This window comes from Homo sapiens, chromosome 1, assembly GCF_000001405.40.
Source record: "Homo sapiens chromosome 1, GRCh38.p14 Primary Assembly".
NCBI classification, from domain to species: domain Eukaryota; kingdom Metazoa; phylum Chordata; class Mammalia; order Primates; family Hominidae; genus Homo; species Homo sapiens.
In genome coordinates, this window is record NC_000001.11 from 166,856,476 (window position 1) to 166,877,394 (window position 20,919).

Consider the following 20,919-nt stretch of genomic DNA (forward strand, 5'->3'; position numbering starts at 1 on the left):
CAATATTCCTTATAATGTTTAATAAACAACAAAGTTTTCTCCCAAAAGGTTTATTTGTCACATTTAAAGTACAAAATCAAATACACAGATCCAGATATGTGAACCATATATACATATCTATACAACCATTATTTAGACTTTCACAAACCTATCTATACATTCTAATTTATCTATCAACACTATCCCTTAAGTAAAAAGCAACATATCTCTTAAGTAGGTTTGTTATCAGTAACACTATCGAATGTAAATTATTTTCACTTCATCACTTGAAACGGTAGAAATAGGTACCTCCTAGAAACTGGAGAATTACCAAGCATATATCCAATTTGTATAGATTTCTTAAAATACATTCTATAGGAATAATTAACCGAAGAAACTGCCAATCAAAGTTTTTGGGCATATTTAACAAAACTTGAGTCATGGGAAGACATAAAGTTAATTAATTGCATTACAAGAGTTTTGTTTTGACTTTGGTTTTAAATGCAAAGAGGGGCTTTATTTTGTTTAGTACACAGAGCACTTCCAAGTCATATTTCCTGTGGAGTTATAGTGATAAATTTCTCAGGGGCTACCTATCGCTATTAAAATTTGAACTGGTCACTAAAGGAGGTATCTGATTTTTAACACTGTGTAGGTTATTTCAACCAAAATGCAAGAACACATTCTTTAGGAGAAAGGCAGAAATTTTAGACTTCTAGATACAGAATGTATGATGTCACTGAACACACAGATATCCTGCTGATCAGGGGGATTAAGTTAAAACAGCTTCTTTGTTCTAGGATGTCATCTATCTTACATGCAGACCACAGGACACTAAGCCTCAGGTACCTAAATATCTCCATTCCAGGCACAGGATTTCATTAGTGCCTGCTCCCACAACTGGGAACACATACATATAGAGATATGGGTCATTACCAAAGATTTATATTAATGGCTTCACAACAGCAACACAAAATGTACTCAATGTCACATTTCCATAGGAAAGGTTATATATACACTATACACTTCAGCCTTGAAATGTGGACCCAAAAAACATTCAATTTTCAGTAATCAATGAATTCGGTGAGGGTCCCACACCCTCAAATCCTAATTTAGCACAGCAAAAGCCCCTCCTTGGCTGCCAAGCGCTGGCGGTGAACTTTGTCTTGCTGCAGCTCTTCATGATTTGGATGCCAGAGTTTCGTGATGATCCTTTCAATGTTAAGAGCATAGACAGTATGTGTAGGGATGACTTCCCTGTGCACCTGGGATTAAAAAATTAACGCATGTCCAATTATACTTGAGTAGACTTATTTTTCTGACATATAAAAGGGTTTATATCAACAAAACATACACACAATCTATAAACTTTCAGTCATACACTAAAATGAATCACCAATTGGATAATAATAAGGAAATAACAAGCTTCTGAAACAGGAATAGCAGAACAAGGGATTTTTTTTCTTTTCTTTCTTTATTGGGGAGATAGAAGATGGGCTCAGGATTTGAAAAATGAGGCTAGTATTAATAACGGCTTTTATAACAGACAAAACTGAAAAACACAAAGCCAAGAAGTGGAAAAAACCAGTGAATACCTTTGTAGACTTAAAGAATCTCTTAACCTATCCATAAACCTAGGTAAACTTTAAGGAGCCAAGACTTACCTGCAAAGCTTCAAAAAGATCGTACATGTTCACCGGAGGCAAAGATGCAGGTAGAGTGTCTCCGGAGCATGCCAGCAGGAGTGCAGCCTGCTGCTCAGCATCATCAGGGGGTGGGTGAGAAGCTGGATTCTGACCAGCACAGGGAGCAGTAAAAGCTGGAGGGCTGAAAATAAAAATTTCAGAAATAGTCCCAGCACAGAGACAACTGAGCAACAAGGACAGGAGTGGCCTGCTAGAATCTTATTTAAAAAATCTTTAATTGAATTAGAAATCCATTCAATGTCTACTCCTGTAGACATGAATAATCTGTAATTTTAATTTTTAAAGGCTGGAAATAAAACATAATACAACTATATTTACCCTCCTTCTTCCACAATGTTAAAATATTTACCTAGCTCAGGATACTGAACTTCCAGTTGAAAAAACTAACAGACCTTAACTACAGGAATATAACATTCAAAACAAATAAAGAGGGAGGTGAATGGTACTGGAAACAACTGGTTCTAAAATAAATTAGAAGAAAAGAAGACATAGCACAGAAGCAACAGGCAAAAATGGAGAGTGGGGAAAATTAATCCAGAACCTGCCAATTTCCCAAAATAGAGCTAGATACAAACTGAGAAGTCAGACATAGTTTTTACTTCATAACCCAGTAGGAGATAACCTACACAATGCTGAGGACGTATCTAGAGGTAAAACAAAAGAGTAAAGCAGTAACTCAGAGGAAAGCACAGTGGAACGTTAGCGTGGGACTGAAGCATCAGACAAAAGCAGCCCTGTTAGAGTAACAAGTGGCCAATAGAGAGGCAAAAGCCCTCAGAGACTGGCCAGCAGGGCAGAGAGGGCTTGGGAGTCCCGCCAGGGCCAGAAGCTGCTCCCAACATCACCCGCTACAAGGAGCCACTTTTGGGGATTTGTTTTTTTCTAGAGAAGAATGATCCCAAACAGATACGCCTGAATGGGATTCAGACAATAAATCACCACATATGGCAATCTAAACAGTAAACCCAATTTAAGATGGGTTAAAATAGGCCCATGACCCCTGTAAAGGTCTTCAGAGTCATGAAATGGGCACTGGCACAAACTCCCACATGTGCTATCAACACTCCCTCTATCCAACTCTCTTAGCTTTCCCACCTACACCTCCTGCCTTCCCTTCCTGTTACTTCACCAATCACCCTGCCACCCTTCCCAGTCATACATACTTTTTTCTCTGAACTTGCAAGTCCCAGTTATCTCTTTACCTCTCTTCTCCCAAACTAACCAGATACGCAAAGTCCAGCAAATCACAAGAAATTCAAGTCACTTCAGTAACCATAAAGAAAATTACATTACTACTTTTTTTTTCCTTTCCCAAAGGCTTAAAATTCAGACTAAATTCCCTTTGGGGGAAGTGGAGGACAAAAGGAGATGGAAGGATAAGAAAGACAACACAGGGATGAAAGTAATCTAGGTTGTTTCATAAAGGGGTGACTCAGGACATAGAGACATCCTGAAGCCCTCAATGGGAAGACGACACAGGAATCCCAGAGGTGAGCTGAGAGACCATGTCTGCACAGCAGGAGGCCAAAAGCAAGTGATGACACCAGGCACAGACCACTATCTTGAGCTATGCCTACAAGAGCCAGATGAGGGCCTGGAGAAACATCTACCACTCCTCCTCCTCCTCCCACCACCAAGACACCCAGCTGTGACCCAACAATCACAGGCCCTGCCTCTAACTGAAAGCAGGCTCACTTCCCCACTGGGCAGGTGATGCCCCTCGGGAGCCCTCAGGATGCACCACCTATGCACTACTCCACTGCACCTAAGAAAGTCGGGGCGGGGGGACAAGCACATTAAACCCGCATGCAGAAGCCAAACTCTGCAACTTCACTTCTCATAAAAGGAGTACCAAAATAATTCACTAGATCTCAGGCAAGTATAGGACTTTAAAAAATAAAATTGTACTCCTATTAAAGGTACTTAAACCTATGAAAACACAATCAATTATTTAACAATGGTCTATAAGAGGAGTATAAACAACTAGCAAAAGATGGAAAGAAAATCACAAGAAACTTCATTTACCTTTCTATTAAGTTGTTGTAAGCTACTACACTATTCTTCAGGTATGGCTGCGGGGTCACGTTACTGCCAAAGGCATATTTAAAATGACCATCTCGTAACCGATAAGCTTTCCTTCTTGACACAACTGACGTCAGTATATCTTTAAGGTGATTCTGTAAACATACAAAAAGAAAAATAGCATGATATCCTCTTTAAAAGCAAATCATAAAACTTCCACTGACCAAAAAACATTTATTGGCATTTAGATGGAGATGCAGAATAGGTTAGTATATGCTAGAACCAAATGAATGTTCACATGAAGAGCCACGGAGCCACACCAAAGGAGTAGGAGGGTATGGGAAAGAGGGGGACATGCTTATTTTCATGTATTAATAGTTCTCTTTAAGAGGGGCTTGCTATACATGAAATTTGAAAAGTCTTTACATCTCTAAATTGGCTCCTCTCTCTCAAAAATGAGTTTTAGATGGCTTTAAAAGAAGTACACAAAAATGACTTTTTTTTTTAGATGGATTCTTGCTCTATTGCCCAGGCTGGAGTGCAATAGCACGATCTCAGCTCACTGCAACCTCTGTCTCCAAGGTTCAAGCAATTCTCCTGCCTCAGCCTCCCAAGTAGTTGGGATTACAGGTGCCCACCACCAAGCCTGGCTAATTTTTTATTTTTAGTAGAGGCAAGGTTTCACCATGTTGGCCAGGCTGGTCTCGAACTTCTGACCTCAGGTGACCCGCCCATCTCAGCCTCCCAAAGTGCTGGGATTACAGGCATGAGCAAAAATGACTTTTTAAAAAGAGACAAACTATGCTGAAACTTTGTTTAAAATAGGACAAAAAGTTTTAAGATCTGATATTATTGGAACCAAAATCCTTGCGTGAAAAGAACCTTGGCTCTCTCAAAAGCCACATAAACAACAGATATATAGGAAATAAGCACAAAATAAATTAGGTACTTGATTTCTCTTCACTTTCATGAGAGCCAAGTATATAAGAAAAGGTTGAGGAAGCCTGTGAAAATAGAGTGACAGAACTCGTCCCAGGCTACCATTATTAATAGGGGAGCCAGCATCAGGCAGGGTGTTTCAATTATACCAAGGAAAATCCACTTATATCAAGACATTATTGTACTATTTAAATTGGTTTGCACGCAGAATTCATTTAATGTTTATAACTTCATGGGACAACTGTTATTATTTTTGAAGTACAGATGAAGAAAATAGGGCTCAGAGAATTGAAAATCCAATGTCACCTGACCATACTCGTGCATTATAGACCCCATCAAATTAGTTTTGTCAAGTAACTAAATGAATAAAATGAATGGACAAATGAAATCATGAGCAGAGACAAGAATTCTGCTGTTCAGATGCCAAGACTAATACTCTTCAGTGCTGTATCACAGCAAAAACAAGTGACTTTAATCTATAGGATTCTCAATTTCATTTCTTTCCTTAAAAACCATTCCCCTGTTGACAAAACATCAGATCAACCAGAAGAGTTATGCCATAAATAACCTTTCTGAAAAGCTTAGTCTATTAACTGAAGACAACTATTTGGATTATAATGAGTTTCTCCTCTTAAAAGAAAACAACTTTTAGCCAGGTGCTATGGCTCACACATGTAAATCCCAGCACCTTGGGAGGCCAAGGCGGGAAGATCACTTGAGCCCATGAATTCGAGACCAGTTAGGCAAGAGAGAGAGACCCCCATCCCTAAAAAATTTTTTTTTTTTAAATTAGCTGAGTATGGTGGCGCACGTCTATACTCCCAGCTCTTGAGAGGCTGAGGCAGGAGGATCGCTTGAGCCCAGGATTTCCAGGTTGCAGTGAGCCATGATCGTGCCACTGCACTCCAGCCTGGGAGACAAAGTGATGCTGTCTCAAAAAAAACAGAAAACAACTTCAACAATGACAATTCTGTGAAATCAGAGTGACATTTGGATTCTTTTCTTGCAATACCGACTTTAAACAACACACAAGCCTATCACATTCAACCTGTAAGATTATTTCTGCCAACAGCAAACCAACCTCCACAGCATAGACAACAGCTGAAACAGCCTCCTCGGTGACATTGTCCAGCCCATGCTCATAAGCAGTCACTATCATTCTCCCTTCAAGCTGGCCTCGAGTGGGAAGCATCATTGTGTGGGAACAAAGTTTCAAGTCGTCATCATCTTGGGGATCCTTTGCCACAAATTGCTGGGCTCCTGAGAGAGGATTTTGAGGCTGGAATCTATGCTATGAGTAAGAAAAACTTTTTAAAATTACTCATTACAGTAGCAAACAAGACACAAAGTAAACTCCTGTACTGAAGTTGAGATCCTCCAAATTAATGCCACCAAAACTATACCACAGGGGTTAAGGGAAAAAAGAGTTAATTCATGCACAAATAATCACAGATTCACATCCAATACAAGGTAATAATGAAGACATGGATTAAGGGGAATAATGGTAGTTTGCGTAGTAGTTTATTCTATTCAATTAATACCTTGGTGATCACAGAATGTATGGCACTGTGTTAAAAATAACTGAAAGAGAAGGAGAAGTATTGAACTATATTCAAACAAATCAGAGCATTTTAAATCTAACCGTAAGTAGGTTCTAAAAGTATAAACATATAATGAATGATTCAATTAAATCTTAAAAAGCCTAGCTAACCAATATGGCAGATCTAGTAACAAATATTCCAAGATAATGCTATGTAGAGTAACTACTTAATTGCTGTTATTTTCTACTTAGAATTCTCAACACAGAACCTAAGATACAGTCATGACTATTTTTCTCAGTCTTTTTCATTCATAAAATCTCAGCCTTCCTCAGGGAGATTCTGATAGCCCATTCATGTTCTCCATCACCACCTGGAGTTATGCCCCAGTACCTTTTGCTTAAGGCTAATATAAAAGATTTTGTAGTGAAGATGGTTTGTCCCTGTTTGAAATTGATATTATGAAAACAACATGGTTATTTTTCCATTTTCCAAGTATAAAACTACTTTATATTGAACATCTCTTTTTAAATCAGACATGTCTCTCTAGAGATCCCAATGGCCTCTACATTCTTACTGATATAAAGCATATAGTCAAGGTGAAAATAAATAATTGTTTATTGATGTTAATCAATAAAGCTATCAATACCCCATAAACCTATAAAAGGGTTACTTCGGGGAAGTTTTTTTCCCTAAATATACACTGAAAAAAGCAATTTGTTTTAAAATGCTTACAAATTTTATAGCCAAATGCCTTCATGACATCTCTACTAGTCCTCAAAAGGCTCAGGGCCCAGCTGGACATCACCAGGACCCCATTAAAGGCCTCCAGGCTGCCTGAGCCCTTGAGACAGATGTCTTCATCCAAGAAACATTATTCATTCAAGAAAAATACTTAACAGGAGAGACAAAAGCATTGTTTTGAATAACTGAAAAATCATTAGGTACTAATGATAACATTACTATTTAAGCAGTAACAAACAAGAACTATAAAAATTCAGACACCTAGAACTCACAATCCTTGAAACGCTTTTCTTCCCAAATCATACTCCTTTTTTTCAACTCTACTACCAGTATTTTAATATTCATTTAAAAACTAAAGCTAGTCCCAACATGCCACTACTTCAATCAGTCATTATCAAGACCTATTAAAGAACAACCTACATCAAATTTCTGACGAACAGAAGAAAGCTTTTTCTTTCCCTTGGGTTTTCCAGGTTTTGCTGCGGAACCCCCTGGCCAAGGCAAAGATCCAGCACCATCTAGGAGACAGAAATATATAACCATAAGTAAAAATAATGACAACTGATAACTGCTAAGTTTGTTTTCATTTGGGGTAAAAAGCATGGAATGCTCATGAAATGCAAATAACTAATGAATGCTTAAATCAAAACCTTCTCTTTCTACTTCTCTAAATAAAATTATCGATCCTCTCAAATCACATTTTTTTCCTAGCTGCAACTAAAATTTTTTTAGGAAGACAAATTTTTTTATATTTTCAATTAATGTTTATTGGGTGTTTTGTTTATTAGCAGTAGTATTATTATAGATGTAGGACAGAATTTGCTGGTCTAAGATGATGAACTGAGCACATGTATTTATCTCCTCTCCCAAGACGCTACAAAATATGAAAGTAAGGAAGGTAAATGGCACACTTGCACAACAGAGGTTAAAAAGGAAAATGAGTGGCAGACACGATGAGATGTCAACAAATTTCTAGGATGGACTAAAAGGGTGCAGACTCGTGAAGCAGACCCATAGAAGCTGTAACCTAGGCTAGGCAAGGAAGGTGGCAAGTGAGGCAGAAGCACGTCAACCTGCCTGGAAGAAACCCACAACCTGGATTGGGAGAATGTGAGTGAGTGGAAACCAGGAGGGATCTGTAAGGCTAAAAACAAAATTAATGGAATGTCTATATCCTTAAATCATCCACACAAACCCATTCACTCACCCCCAAAACTGGGTTCAGTACAAAATCAAAGTGCTGGGCCTCGTGTTTAAAAATTAAGAATTTCAAGATAATGATGGTACAAACCAAGTGCAGGGCCCTTCTGTGCAATGCAGGTCACAGGCCCAGGAAGGCTCATTCCCATGCACAGAATGACACAGAGCAGGGTATTTATAATAGCTAAGTCAGGGGGTTAGAAGGAAGGTGGGGAGGGAATAAGGACTCTTCTCTAGTTAAACCGAACACAATTTCTGGGATTTACTAAGGTAGCTGGTATGGATGTTGGTACCCTACAGCAAAGCTCTCTGTATATGGGAATTTGGGAGACCCCCAGTTTAACAGTAGGCTTCCTGTCAGCTTACTCTAAAGCAAAGTCTCCAGGCAGTTTTATGCTTCATTCTTAAACATGAAAAGGACAATAATTAATCACCAGATATTTGACAATATTCTTTCACATGACAAGAAAGAGCAAGCTAAAAAAATAAAAATAAAAAAAAAGAGGTCCTAGACAGGAAATGCAAAAGAATTCTGATAAATTTCCAACAGGTATCCGCAGAAAACTTTCAGAACATGTTCATCCATGAAACAAGATGCTATTAAAATTGCTGAATTAAAGAATGCATTCAACAGAAAGGCCCAAAGAGTTCAGGAAATCTCAAACACAGAGCAATAAGACAGAGATGTTAAAATCAGTTAATCCAGAAACAGATTTAAGCAACTATGAGGGCTAAAGAGGTCCCACCAGAAGAACAAAAAACAAAAAGTAGTTGCCTTTGGGAATAGGTCTAGGGGTGGGAACAAGCTTTTATCATAAAACCTTCTGTGCTACTGATATTTTTTTAACCATGAACATATATTGTTTAATGTTAAAAAAAAAAAAAAGTAACACAACCTCACTACAGTACACTTAAAAAGAAAACTCAAGGCCGGGTGCGGTGGCTCAAGCCTGTAATCCCGACACTTTGGGAGGCCGAGGCGGGCAGATCACGAGGTCAGGAGATCAAGACCATCCTGGCTAACATGGTGAAACCCTGTCTCTACTAAAAATACAAAAAAAAAATATTAGCCGGGCGTGGTGGTGGGCACCTGTAGTCCCAGCTACTCGGGAGGCTGAAGCAGGAGAATGGCGTGAACCTGGGAGGCGGAGCTTGCAGTGAGCCGAGAAAGCACCACTGCACTCCAGCATGGGCGACAGAGTGAGACTCCGCCTCCAAAAAAAAAAGAAAACTCAAAAAAATTTTTAAGAAAGAAAAAATCACCCATAATCATAGTAAAATGTTCCTACAATTTTGATATTTTTGGAAAGAAACGTTTTTAACGCTTTGAAAAAAAAAATATTCCAGATTCCTCAGTTTAAAAAGAACTGTTTGGGAAGTCAGGTTCCTCTTATCTTTGGCATGCACAGATCTCACTTGATAAGGTCAGCCAATCTTAGATGATTTTCCCAAGAAATCCCTTCCTGATAAATGAAACTGGATGCCAAGTGATGACAGGAAAGTAGGCTGGACATGCAGACGATGATGCAAAGGAGCAGGCCTGCAAACTCACAGCTTACCAGCTGCTGCTGCGTGGCCAAGCGAAGCACGCTAAGGCCTAACCCTGACAAAATGGAAGGCTTTTTAGTAGCACTTAGATTTCAGTTTTGATCCAACACATCCAATTACTAGCTGGATAAGGCCTAAGGCAAGTTTTTCTTTTGTTTTGTTTTCTCTTCTCTTAATTTTGTTTCCTTATCTATAAAAACAGGCTAACACCTACCATGCAGAATTGTTGTGAGGATTAAAGATAATGCATATAAAGTGTCTAGTATGCTATACTCAACAAATATTATTATTAATATCATCTTTCCTGACTAGCTTAGAAAACTAGAAAACAACCCATCCAAAATTGTGAGGTACAAACAACTATATTTTACTTGTAATAGAAATCTTCTCTTTGTTGCTAACAAATATTAATTTCATTTTGAGAAATTTGGGGTGTTCAATGGAAGAATACATTCTCAAAATCCAAATGCTTCTTCATTTATTTTAAAATAACTATTAACAACCATTCAGAATATCAAAGGTTTTTATCTAATTAAAATCAGCCACCTGTACTTACGAATACCACTTCAACATTTGTTTGGCAATTTTTTTTATTTTTATTTTTTTTTTTTGAGACAGGGTATTAGTCTGTCACCCAGGCTGGAGTGCAGTGGCGCAATCTCGGCTCACTGCAACCTTCGCCTCCCAGGTTCAAGCAATTCTCCTGCCTCAGCCTCCCTAGTACCCAGGATTACAGGTGCCTACCACCATGCCTGGCTAATTTTTGTACTTTTAGTAGTGACGGGGTTTCACCATGTTGGCCAGGCTGGTCTTGAACTCCTGACTTCAGGTGATCCACCCACCTTGGCCTCCCAAAGCGCTGGGATTACAGACATGAGCCACTGTGTCTGGCTGGCATTTTTTATTTTTAAAATCACTTTTTTATAAGTTCTTTCATCTGTTTTTTCATAATCCTACGGGGTAGATATTGCTGTACTTATTTTATAAATTTGAAAGCCCAAGTAACTATATTATGTAAGCTAGTGGCAAAACCTACACTTGAACCTAAGTCTCTTGACTCTTATCAACCAGGGTTTTTACTTCTGATCACTCCATTTATCTTTGGCATATGTGGCAATTTACAATATGCTTCCCTAAAAAGTAAGATTCACAATATTGGCTTTTCTGATCAAATTAAATTTTATGTAACAAAATAGATTATGATTTAACTTTGGACATAAAAGAGGAATGGCTAAAGTCTACTTGTATATAAATTAAATAGCACATCAAAAATCTGACACAGTGTAAGAATGTGCGGTGATGAGTGTGGTGAGGGGAGGGAGGCAGTCACTGCTCTCTAAAACAACCCCACAAGCAGGTGCTCACAGTTTACTACACATTAACAACGACTTCTTTGAGGGTCAAAGAACGAGGTGTTAGGAGATCTTATGTGAATTTTTTTTTTTTTTTTTTAAACACAGTTTCACTCTGTCGCCCAGGCTGAAGTGCCGTGGCACAATGTAACCTCTACCTCCCAGGTTCAAGCGATTCTCATGCCTCAGCCTCCTGAGTAGCTGGGACTACAGATGTGCGCCACCACGCCCGGCTAATTTTCTTTTTTGTATTATTAGTAGAGTAGGGGTTTCACCATGTTGGCCGGGCTGGTCTCGAACTCCTGACCTCAAGTGACCCGCCCGCCTCAGCCTCCCAAAGTGCTGGGAATACAGGCGTGAGCCACCACGCCCTGGCTTGAGTTCTTTATCATACAGTAGAAGTAAACAGAGAGAGAGGATTAAAAAATACCAGCCATTTATAGATAAAACATGAGCTTTCGATATATGATCATCAGAATCACCCTAAGCCCTTAAAAAAATTTCAATTTAATCTACAACAGGAGTTGGTAAGCACAATTGTAATGGTAACTTTTGTAGTCTTATGAATAGATATAAATTGCAATTTAGAAATATAAAAACTACTGAATAAATCATTTGGCCTAATTTTTTTTAAAAAGTCCAGTATGACTTTTATCATGAGGAAAGTTTTCAATGTATTTAATTACTTGTTTTTGACTGATTAAAATAAGATGGTTGAGAGAGGTGACTTACAGCTTAATCTTCTCTTCAGGTTAAAGTGACAGGTTTCGTTTCCACCTACCCCCTCAACATGCTACTATCCCCTACCTCTTGTTATCTACCAATAATCTGTGAAACACAGGTGCTGAAGCTTGACCTTTCAGGTGCTATCTTACCTAAGAACATAGTGGAAGTCCAGGTTCCCAACATATGCTGGGTTCCCCCACCTCCCCACTACGGACACCTTTCAAGTTAGGTATCCCTTAGGTACAGGACACCTAACACCAACTGCCCTCTCTTCATCTCCCTTACCTTCTTCATCCTGATCTCCCACCCTCTTCCTCACTTCTCATTTACTTAAGTAATCTAAAATGTAGCTGAGTGGGGACTCAATATCAAAAGGTAATATAAGTACAGGGACATAACCTGCTTTACAAGGCTCCGTAGATTTGGGCAGTCCCTGCTGTGGTGCTCACCCTGCGCCCTCTTGTTCCCGGGCTATCTCCTTGCTTGCCTTCTGGCTCTCTCAAGCCCTATTCTGAGGGACACCACTATTTCCCCCATTGAGCAAACTGGCCTGCGGGGGAGGGTGGCACACAGAGCAGCCTTGCCCAGCTCTCCCAGCATAACACGCCCGGACCAAGGGGTCCACGGGGGCTAGGACTTGGACATGCCTAGGATTACACAATACCACCTAGGGAGAAAGCACTTGTGAAAACAAACATTCAGACAGTCCTTCCTTCTGGGTGTTAGAAAAGAGTAGTGCCACATCTGGCTTGGCTGAAAAACACTTTACTGATGTAGGAGCTGGCATCATAAGATGAAGATTATAGAGGAAGTGTTGGTGTTGTACAATTCAATTTTGGCAAAGAAAAGTTTGGTGTCAAAAATGGTGATCAAATTGCATAGCTCATTTGTGAACAGACTTTTTCTCCAGAAACAGAAATTCAAGCTTTGGATGACACTGAAAGGGGTTCAGGAGGTTTGGGTTCCACTGGAAAGAATTAAAATGTATGCCAAGAACTGAAAATGAGAAATCATACCTTTTTCTTAAAAATAAAGAGTTTCTGCTTTAAAAAAAAAAAAAGATTCTGTAAAAGAATTTGTATCTACCTAATAAAACTTTTCTTCTGAGTAGTTCAAAAACATCTGCTTTACAAACACTAGCTGTGTCTATTAGAGAAAGCTAAAGTCTAGTGCTTTGCTGACTTACACACACTGGAAGTATTTCCACTCCCTTACCTGGTGTAGAAACCAAAATCTGACAACGCGTGAGAATGGCCAGGAGGAAATCATTGTGAGAATGGACTGAAAAAGGAAAGATAGTGACAATCAAATTCAAAACATTTTCAACATAAGGAAACCACAACTTTGGTCTAGCTTCTCAAGATTTTGGATATCCCCTATTCTGCCATGCTTTATACTTAAAGTATCCACATTATTAAGATAACCTTATACACCACAAAACCAAAATTTTACTTTTTAAAAAGGGAAAAGACTTTACTACAAATCTAGGAAAACTACAGAATAGTAAAATAACTCTGCAGATAATTATTTTACCATTATCCTGTGTGAGAAGTCTATGAGCTTCAAGGTCAAACTCCTCTTTGCTGATCTTCTGCTTGAACCACAGCTTTAGGTTAGCCCAGTATCTGCAGAGGCAGAAACAATACTAAGAACCACAGATTTGGCTGCTTCTAGTTTTTTTTGTTTGTTTTGTTTTTTTAAAGAGACGGGGTTTTTTATTCTGTCACTCAGGCTGGAGTGCAGGGGAACAATCAGAGCTCTGAACTTCTGGCTTTAAGCTACCCTCCCACCTCAGCCCCCTGAGTAGCTGGGACTACAGCATGAACACATTTTGCTTCTTCCCCAAGTTCAGCATACATGCTCCAACTCCGAGGAAAGGAAATTTTGCATTCCCTGGCTCTATGGGCTGAATTGTGTCCCCCCACAAAAGTCCTGTGTTAAAGCCTTAACCCTAGTACTTCAGAATATGACTCTATTTGGAGATTGGGCCTTTAAATAGTAATTAAGATGAGGCCATTAGGGTGGGCCCTAATCCAGTATGATTGGTGTCCTTATAAGAAGAGGCAATTAGGACACAGATACATTCACAAAGAAATAACCATGTGAACACACAACAAGAAGGCTGTCATCTATAGGAGAGAGGCCTCTTGCCAACATCTTGATCACAGACTTCCAGCCTTCAGAACTGTGAGAAAATAAATTTCTGTTGTTTAAGCGAACCAGTCTGTGGTACTTTGTTATGGCAGCCCTAGCAAACTAATACACCTAGGAATCAGAATACCAACAAAGAAAGGAAAATCCTCCCTAAAAGGGGACTCGCCGGTACGGTGGCTCATGCCTGTAGTCCCAGCACTTTGGGAGGTCAAGGCAGGCAGACCGCTTGAACCCAGGAGTTCGAGATTAGCCTGGGCAACATGGCAGGACCTCCCTCTCTACAAAAAATACAAAACTTAGCTGTGCATGTTGGTGCATGCCTGTAGTCCCTGCTACCTGGGAGGCTGAAGTGGAGGGACTGATTGAGCCCAGGAGGTCAGGGCTGCGGCGAGCCATGATCACACCACTACACTCCAGCCTGGGTGACAGAGCAAGACCTTGTCTCAAAACAAATAAAAGGGAATTGGCAGGTAGTCACAGAATTGGACTCATGATTCACTTAGCCCAAAACTATTATAGCTATACCCTTGTTTCTCACTGTCACCTTTCTAATAGACCTACTCTCCAGAATCCTGCATTTAAGATTTATATTTTAAACTGTGTGTGTTTAACGGAGAGGGGAGTAGTCATTTATATTTGTTTTAGGTGACATCCTTCCCTTCAGATAAACTCAACTTTCAATCTAACTGGCTGAAAAAAAAATGGGTTTCTAAACATCTCAGCACAAAGAAAATGCCTGGGGATATCTGTAGTTTTTAAAGTGAAAATCAACACCTAATAATAAAAATTACTTGGTAACTGGTAGAAAAAAAATGACTTAACCTTTTACACTTTAACAACAGTGTTAGGAATTAGAGTGAAATAATGTCACTTATCACACCACATCCACAACCCTGGTTTTGGTACTTAAGGAAGCTGCTTCTTATTATGGAATGGGATGAAAAATTACTCAATACTTGAGTTCCTAACAGGAAAAAAAAATCAGATTTCTCAACGGGATGATTTAATATTTTCACTGCCATATAATGCCCATGGCAGATCTCCCTCTGTGTGTGGATTAGCTTCAAGTCATCTTAGTATCTCTATATGTAATTGACTATGATCATATGTAGTTGCATGCAAAGCTTTGGGTTGATGTTTGTTGTTGTTGTTGTTGTTGTTTTTCAGGAGAAAACCCATAGCCTTTATGGGGTCTTAAGTGGCCCAAAACCCACGACACTGCCATCTTTCAGGCCCATTTCACTTAACAACAGAACACATGCAGCTCTAGAGCTTGGTACCCTTTCCACTTGATAGCTGCACATTCATTAGTCAATAGGTCAACAGTAACTTTCCAACAGTGGACACTTTTATACATTTTTTTAAAGGACAGGAATAATAATGAAAGAAATAAAATAAAGCTCCACAGAAAACCAAAGGTCTTTTCCTATCCCATTCTATCCAACAACAACAAAAAAAATAAAATAAAAAAATAGTAACCTGGAGAAAAACTCTATTATTTAAAAGTCCTATGTCAGTATTTTATAAGAAGCAAATGTATATTTGGAAAGAGTGAACTTGTTCCAGAACTAAAACAAGGCTCTACCAGGAAGCTCTGTCAAAATAACGCAAACTATTTTCTCCAGTGGCAAAACTTTTAGCCCAAAGAGCTAGAACTAGCTACCAAGAGTTAAAAGACTTGCTCTCCAATCCTGGTCCCTCTGTTAACTCACTGTATAGCCACAGACAAATGACTGTTTCCCTCAACAATACTGCTATAGTTTGGATATTTGACCAAACCTCATGATGACATTTAATCCTCAATGGTGGAGGTGGAGCCTAATGGGAGGTGTTTGGGTTATGGGAGAGGATTCCTCACCAATGGTTTGGTGTTATCTTTCCTGGTGGTAATGAGTGAGAGCTCGCTCACTCTGTGAGTTCCTGCAAGAGATTCTCCAAGAGCTGGTTGTTTAAAAAGAGCCTGGCACCTTCCCCATTTCTTGTTTCCTTTCACAAAGTGATCTGCAGGCCGGGCGCGGTGGCTCATGCCTATAATCTCAGGACTTTAGCAGGCCAAGGCGGGCGGATCACCTGAGGTCAGGAGTTTGAGACCAGCCTGACCAATATGATGAAACCCTGTCTCTACTAAAAATACAAAAATTAGCCAGGTGTGGTGGAACGCACCTGTAATCCCAGCTACCTGGGAGACTGAGACGGGAGAATCGCTTGAACCCAGGAGGCAGAGGTTGCAGTGAGCCGAGATAGTGCCATTGCACTCCAGCCTGGGCAACAAGAGCAAAACTCTGTCTCCAAAAAAAAAAACCAAAGTGATCTGCACATGCAGGTTCCCTTCACCTTCCACCATGAGTGAAGCCACCTGAGGCCCTCACCAGAAGATGCTGGTGCCATGCTTTTGGTACAGTCTGCAGACCTGTGAGCCAAACTAACTTCTTTATAAATTACCCAGCCTCAACTATTCCTTTATAGCAACACAGACTAAGGACAAATACCAAAAACAAAGCCAATCAATCCCTGTGAAGGTCAGGACAATGGGTAGAAGTATAAGTGGGTCAGATTACGAAGCACTGGATATACCTAAAGAATATTAAATAACATATGATCATGGCCGGACGCAGTGACTCACGCTTGTAAGCCTGGCATTTTGGGAGCCCAAGGGGGATGTGGATCACTTGAGGTCAGGAGTTCAAGACCAGCCTGGCCAACATGGCGAAACCCCGTCTCTACTAAAAATACAAAAATGAGTCGGACATGGTGGTGGGCGCCTGTAATCGCAGCTACTCAGGAGGCTGATGCAGGACAATCACTTGAGCCCAGGAGGTGGAGGTTGCAGTGAGCCGAGATCGCACCACTGCACTCCAGCCTGGGTGACAAAGTGAGACTCTCTCTCAAAATAAATAAATAAATGCATAAATAAATAACATATGATCAAATCCTCAAAAGAAATCAGGCACCTATTTGAACATGGCATTCTACTGGCTACTATACAAAGTGAGTTGCCTAGCAAAGCCCATGTCTTCCTGGAAGCAGCTTGGGCACACAACCCAACCAGTCAGACATGAAGGATGTTCAGACCACTGGATAAATAGCAAATAACTCATATCCAGCCTCCGTGCATAACCCTGTATGTTTTGCCTACCACCGAGGACCACACTTAAATAGGTTGTGCAAACCAAAGCAAACTGCTCATGGAGGAAATATAAGAAATGACTGTACAGTACAAGAGTATTACTGACTATTTAACCCAGAGGTACTTTTTAAGGAGAAGGGAAAAGAACAATGAGAGAATGGAAAAACAAATTTAGAACTATACGTTACCATTAACTGTTTCTGGCATAAAAATCTCTTTTGATTGCATTTTAGTGGGGATTCACACTCCAGATGCACCAAATTTAGCTTCAGCATCAGTATTTGACCAACATCAGACAGTCGGCTTTGGCCTTTAAAAACTAAATAAGGAATGCTAACTTCAAAAACACTTTTGGCAGCCCTGAACCTGTAACTGATGAGTATGGGATGACAGAGGTCACCATTGCATCTAATCAGGGTTAAAGGCAATCATACACAAGCCAGGTCCTTCAGATTTATTTTGGTATGTAAACGTTTGCTTTCAAATATTTGTAAGCATTCTAGATGGAACAGAGTGAAATGCCCCTTATGTGCTTAAAAATGTAAATTTTGGCTGGGCGCGGTGGCTCACGTCGGTAATCCCAGCACTTTGGGAGGCCAAGGCGGGTGGCTCACGAGGTCAGGAGTTCAAGACCAGCCTGGCCAAGATGGTGAAACCCCATCTCTACTAAAAATACAAAAATTAGCCGGGCGTGGTGGCAGGTGCCTGTAATCCCAGCTACTCAGGAGGCTGAGGCAGAGAAGTGCTTGAACCCAGGAGGTGGAGGCTGCAGTGAGCGGAGATCATGCCACTGCACCCCAGCCTGGACGACAGAGCAAGACTCCATCTCAAAAAAAAAAAAGGTAAATTTTATCAGTCGGTATTACAAAAGTAAAAAGCTACAGTAATTAGGGTGAAAGCTGTCAATTTTACCTATTAAAATAAGTAAGAATATTTAATTCAATAAGCACAGTGAACATCAATATCGAAAGACAATTTTCGGTGGTACACTATAGTCGGGTGTGGTGGCTCATGCCTGTAATCCCAGAACTTTGGGAGGCCAATGCGGGAGGACTGCTTGAGGCCAGGATTTGAGATCAGCCTGGGCAACACAGCAAGACTTTGTCTCTGAAAAAAAAAACTTTAGCCAGGATTAGCGGGGCGTGCCTACAGTCCCAGTTATAGGCTCACAGCAGGGGAGGATCTCTTGAGCTCAGGAGATCAAGGTTGCTGTGAACTGTGTGATCAGGCCACTGTACTTCGGCCTCTGCCACAGAGCAAGACCCCAACCCCCAAACACAAAGTGAAACATATCTCTGGGCGTAAATAAATGTTCACCAAAAATTAAATAATTATGCTAAAATAACAGTTTAGATTTTAATTTTAATCTTTTTATAGTTTCCATTATTATCTTGTTAGGATGAAAAGTAGACTGTCAACTCTGCCACCCCAAAATTTCACATGAAGGAAAAACTCCAAAATTCATGTATGACATCCAACCTAAGTAATTTCAATCCAGTAATAATAAAGAACAGAGAAGGATGAAAAGAAAGTATTGGAGAAAAATTAAGTATTCCCAAATTGCTCCTCCACCAACATCATTTAAAAGTATGCATCCACTGAGTAATGCAAATGTGTAGAATACCAGAGAAGCCATCTAGCAGCAACAACACAGGCACTGTAATTTTAAACGTTTATATTTGCTTCCTATATTTTTGAAAAATAAAGTTGTAATAACAACGTTTTGAAAATTTCCAAACTCTTCCTTGTATCCCAGAGGTTCCTTTTTTGCTCTTTGGCTTTGGCTTTGACTGGATACTGATTTTACCCTTGGCCATTCTGCACCTAACCTGACTGTGCACTAGGTCCCCTGCCATAACCTGGATGAAGGTCTGGCTGAGCGTCTCTGGGATCCTTTACAGCCCCTCTAATGCATCAGTCGGGAATCAAAAGCGTGGGTCCCAACTCTGACAGTGACTTTTGAAGAGTTACTTGTCCGCACTAGGTCTCAGTCTTCTCATCTGTCAAATGGGAATAACAACTGTACCTATCTCACATCTGTTGTAAGGATTAGATAATATATTTAGAGAGCTTAAAATGTTTAAAATGTCCGCTACTGCTATCATCACTATAATTGTAGTGTTCAATGACTGTGATTTCACCAGAGGGTCCGTCTGCCTTACGAAATTGCTGTCAAAAGAGCTTACCAATAATCCGTAGCAGATCACACCAGCTCAACAGGCCTCCACCTCCAGGAAGCCCTCCAGGGGCGGGCCGCCCTGCGCTATGCCCTCTGGCTGGACGCGTAGGGCTCCGGCTCACTCCGCCCAAGTCAGCCTCCCGCATCCCGCACGCCCGCGCTGGGGCCCGCACCTGCTCAGCAGGCCCTTGGGTGCGAAGTGCGCTTCTCCCGCCCCACCCAGGGCAGACAGTCCCGAGCAACGGCGCCCGCCGATGTCTCCCGGGCGCCCAGGAGGCCCGGTCTCTCCAGGGCGGTGAGTTCAGGTGGCCCGCCCCGCCCCGGCCGGAGAAACCCCGAAGCCCCGCCGCCGCGGACTCCAGGCTGCACAGGCCCCCGGGCGACGCGGGCGTCTCCGGGGCGGGCTGGCAGCCCGAGGCCAGGAGAGCACCCGCGTGTTGGCCTGGACGCTGTGCTAGGGCAGCTCTTACTGTTTCACGTTGTCCCCCAGGGCCTCGCTTAAGTTCTTCTTGGCCGCCTCCAGCTCGCTCACAAAGGTCGCCATTGCTCCGCGTGTCTCAGCCCGACCGCAGACCGCCCGGCCACCGCGATCAACAACCCAAAAACCAACTCGGCGGAAGGCCTTGGCTCTGGAAGCTAAGCCGGCCGCCGTCAGTCCCGCCCCCAATCTCTCAGAAGTCGTTTGTTTGGTTTTCGGCTCCGCCCGCCTTTTCGCAGGGAAGGTGCCCGGCCAAACTCTGCTCTCTTCCTCCCGCCCCTCGAGTCACGTGATCCGCTTCACCTTGTCGCGCGCCCATCCTAAACCCGCGCGCCCCGCCTCGGCTGCAACGTTGCTGACAGGCTGGCGTGTCCCAAGCTCTTTCATTCTGTTACCGCTGGGGCAATTCCGAATTCAGCCTGCTGTTCTTCTGCCTGGAGGAGTACCTTACCCCTCCATTTAAAAAAGTAAATGCAGTATCAGTTTTACTCTTTCCTTGCCTTATTTTTCCCCGAGCACTAACCGTCTCATATGACATTTAGTTGATTTATCTTGTAAATGTTATGGCTCGAGGACAGGAGTTGTGTTTTATTCACTGTTACCCGCAATTCTCTAGAGCAGCGCCTGGCACATAGTGGATGCTTAATAAGTATTTGAGTAAATGAGGTAACTATGTAAAATTTGGAAAATACACAGAAAGATAAAGATAAAAAGAAGGAAAAAGTGTTTTACCACTCCCGGACAAACACTTAACTGAGAGAGATTTCTCCTTCACTTCGCACACTCCCATGACTTAAAATATTCTATGTTCAATTTTGCACGTTTTTAAACTTAAGGATTTATCTGTAGTATTACATTGTCTTTAGAATAATTTTAATGACAACATATTAAATACCCCCACAGATAGAAGGTACACAACTTGTTTCCCAATTGTTAGACTGTGTCCATTTCTTCTCTATTAAAAAGCAATACTGTAATATTGCTTTTGAAGCATATAGCATAATGAAGCAAAACTTCTTTATGCATAAAACTTTTCCTCCTTTAGGATTATTACTTTAGCATAGAGTCCCACACATAGAATTACTGGATCAAATGATGGGAATATTTATAAATGCCTTGGTGTATATTGTCAAATTGCCTCCCAAAGTTTTTTAAATAATCCTAGATAGCTTTTAGATCTTGTGTAATTTCTCCAAAGATGTCCCCTTAAGTTCATTCATTCAACTT

At 40.9% G+C, this 20,919-nt stretch overlaps 1 protein-coding gene and 1 pseudogene across 1 annotated transcript, besides 3 other annotated features; one reads left to right on the top strand and one right to left on the bottom strand.

Annotated features, from left to right (window-relative positions):
• Positions 1 to 34: 34 nt before the first annotated feature.
• TADA1 (transcriptional adaptor 1) lies at positions 35 to 19,789 on the bottom strand. Its single transcript, NM_053053.4, has 8 exons — positions 19,685 to 19,789; positions 13,288 to 13,379; positions 12,970 to 13,035; positions 7,349 to 7,446; positions 5,728 to 5,937; positions 3,711 to 3,862; positions 1,644 to 1,806; positions 35 to 1,244 (listed from the first exon to the last, which is right to left on the bottom strand). Exons 1-8 carry the CDS (start codon positions 19,756 to 19,758, stop codon positions 1,092 to 1,094), a joined length of 1,008 nt encoding a protein of 335 aa, NP_444281.1. The 5' UTR covers positions 19,759 to 19,789; the 3' UTR covers positions 35 to 1,091.
• On the top strand, positions 12,259 to 12,732 carry DUTP6 (deoxyuridine triphosphatase pseudogene 6; annotated as a pseudogene).
• Positions 19,246 to 19,645: a silencer, noted in NCBI's record as "silent region_1513". NCBI's record gives its function as "represses an Ori minimal core promoter by ATAC-STARR-seq in GM12878 lymphoblastoid cells {active_cell/tissue: GM12878}" and the evidence as "EXISTENCE:reporter gene assay evidence [ECO:0000049][PMID:35858748]".
• Positions 19,676 to 19,725: a silencer, noted in NCBI's record as "silent region_1514". NCBI's record gives its function as "represses an Ori minimal core promoter by ATAC-STARR-seq in GM12878 lymphoblastoid cells {active_cell/tissue: GM12878}" and the evidence as "EXISTENCE:reporter gene assay evidence [ECO:0000049][PMID:35858748]".
• Positions 20,126 to 20,175: an enhancer, noted in NCBI's record as "active region_2027". NCBI's record gives its function as "activates an Ori minimal core promoter by ATAC-STARR-seq in GM12878 lymphoblastoid cells {active_cell/tissue: GM12878}" and the evidence as "EXISTENCE:reporter gene assay evidence [ECO:0000049][PMID:35858748]".

Excerpts from the sequence above, each read along its gene's own strand:
- TADA1 (NM_053053.4), bottom strand. The coding sequence starts at position 19,758 with ATGGCGACCTTTGTGAGCGAGCTGGAGGCGGCCAAGAAGAACTTAAGC. Across the intron at positions 3,863-5,727 it reads CTGTTGTCTATGCTGTGGAG|AATCACCTTAAAGATATACT; the intron begins GTTGGTTTGCTG and ends GTATGTTTACAG. Across the intron at positions 1,807-3,710 it reads TACAACAACTTAATAGAAAG|CCCTCCAGCTTTTACTGCTC; the intron begins GTAAATGAAGTT and ends TTTTATTTTCAG.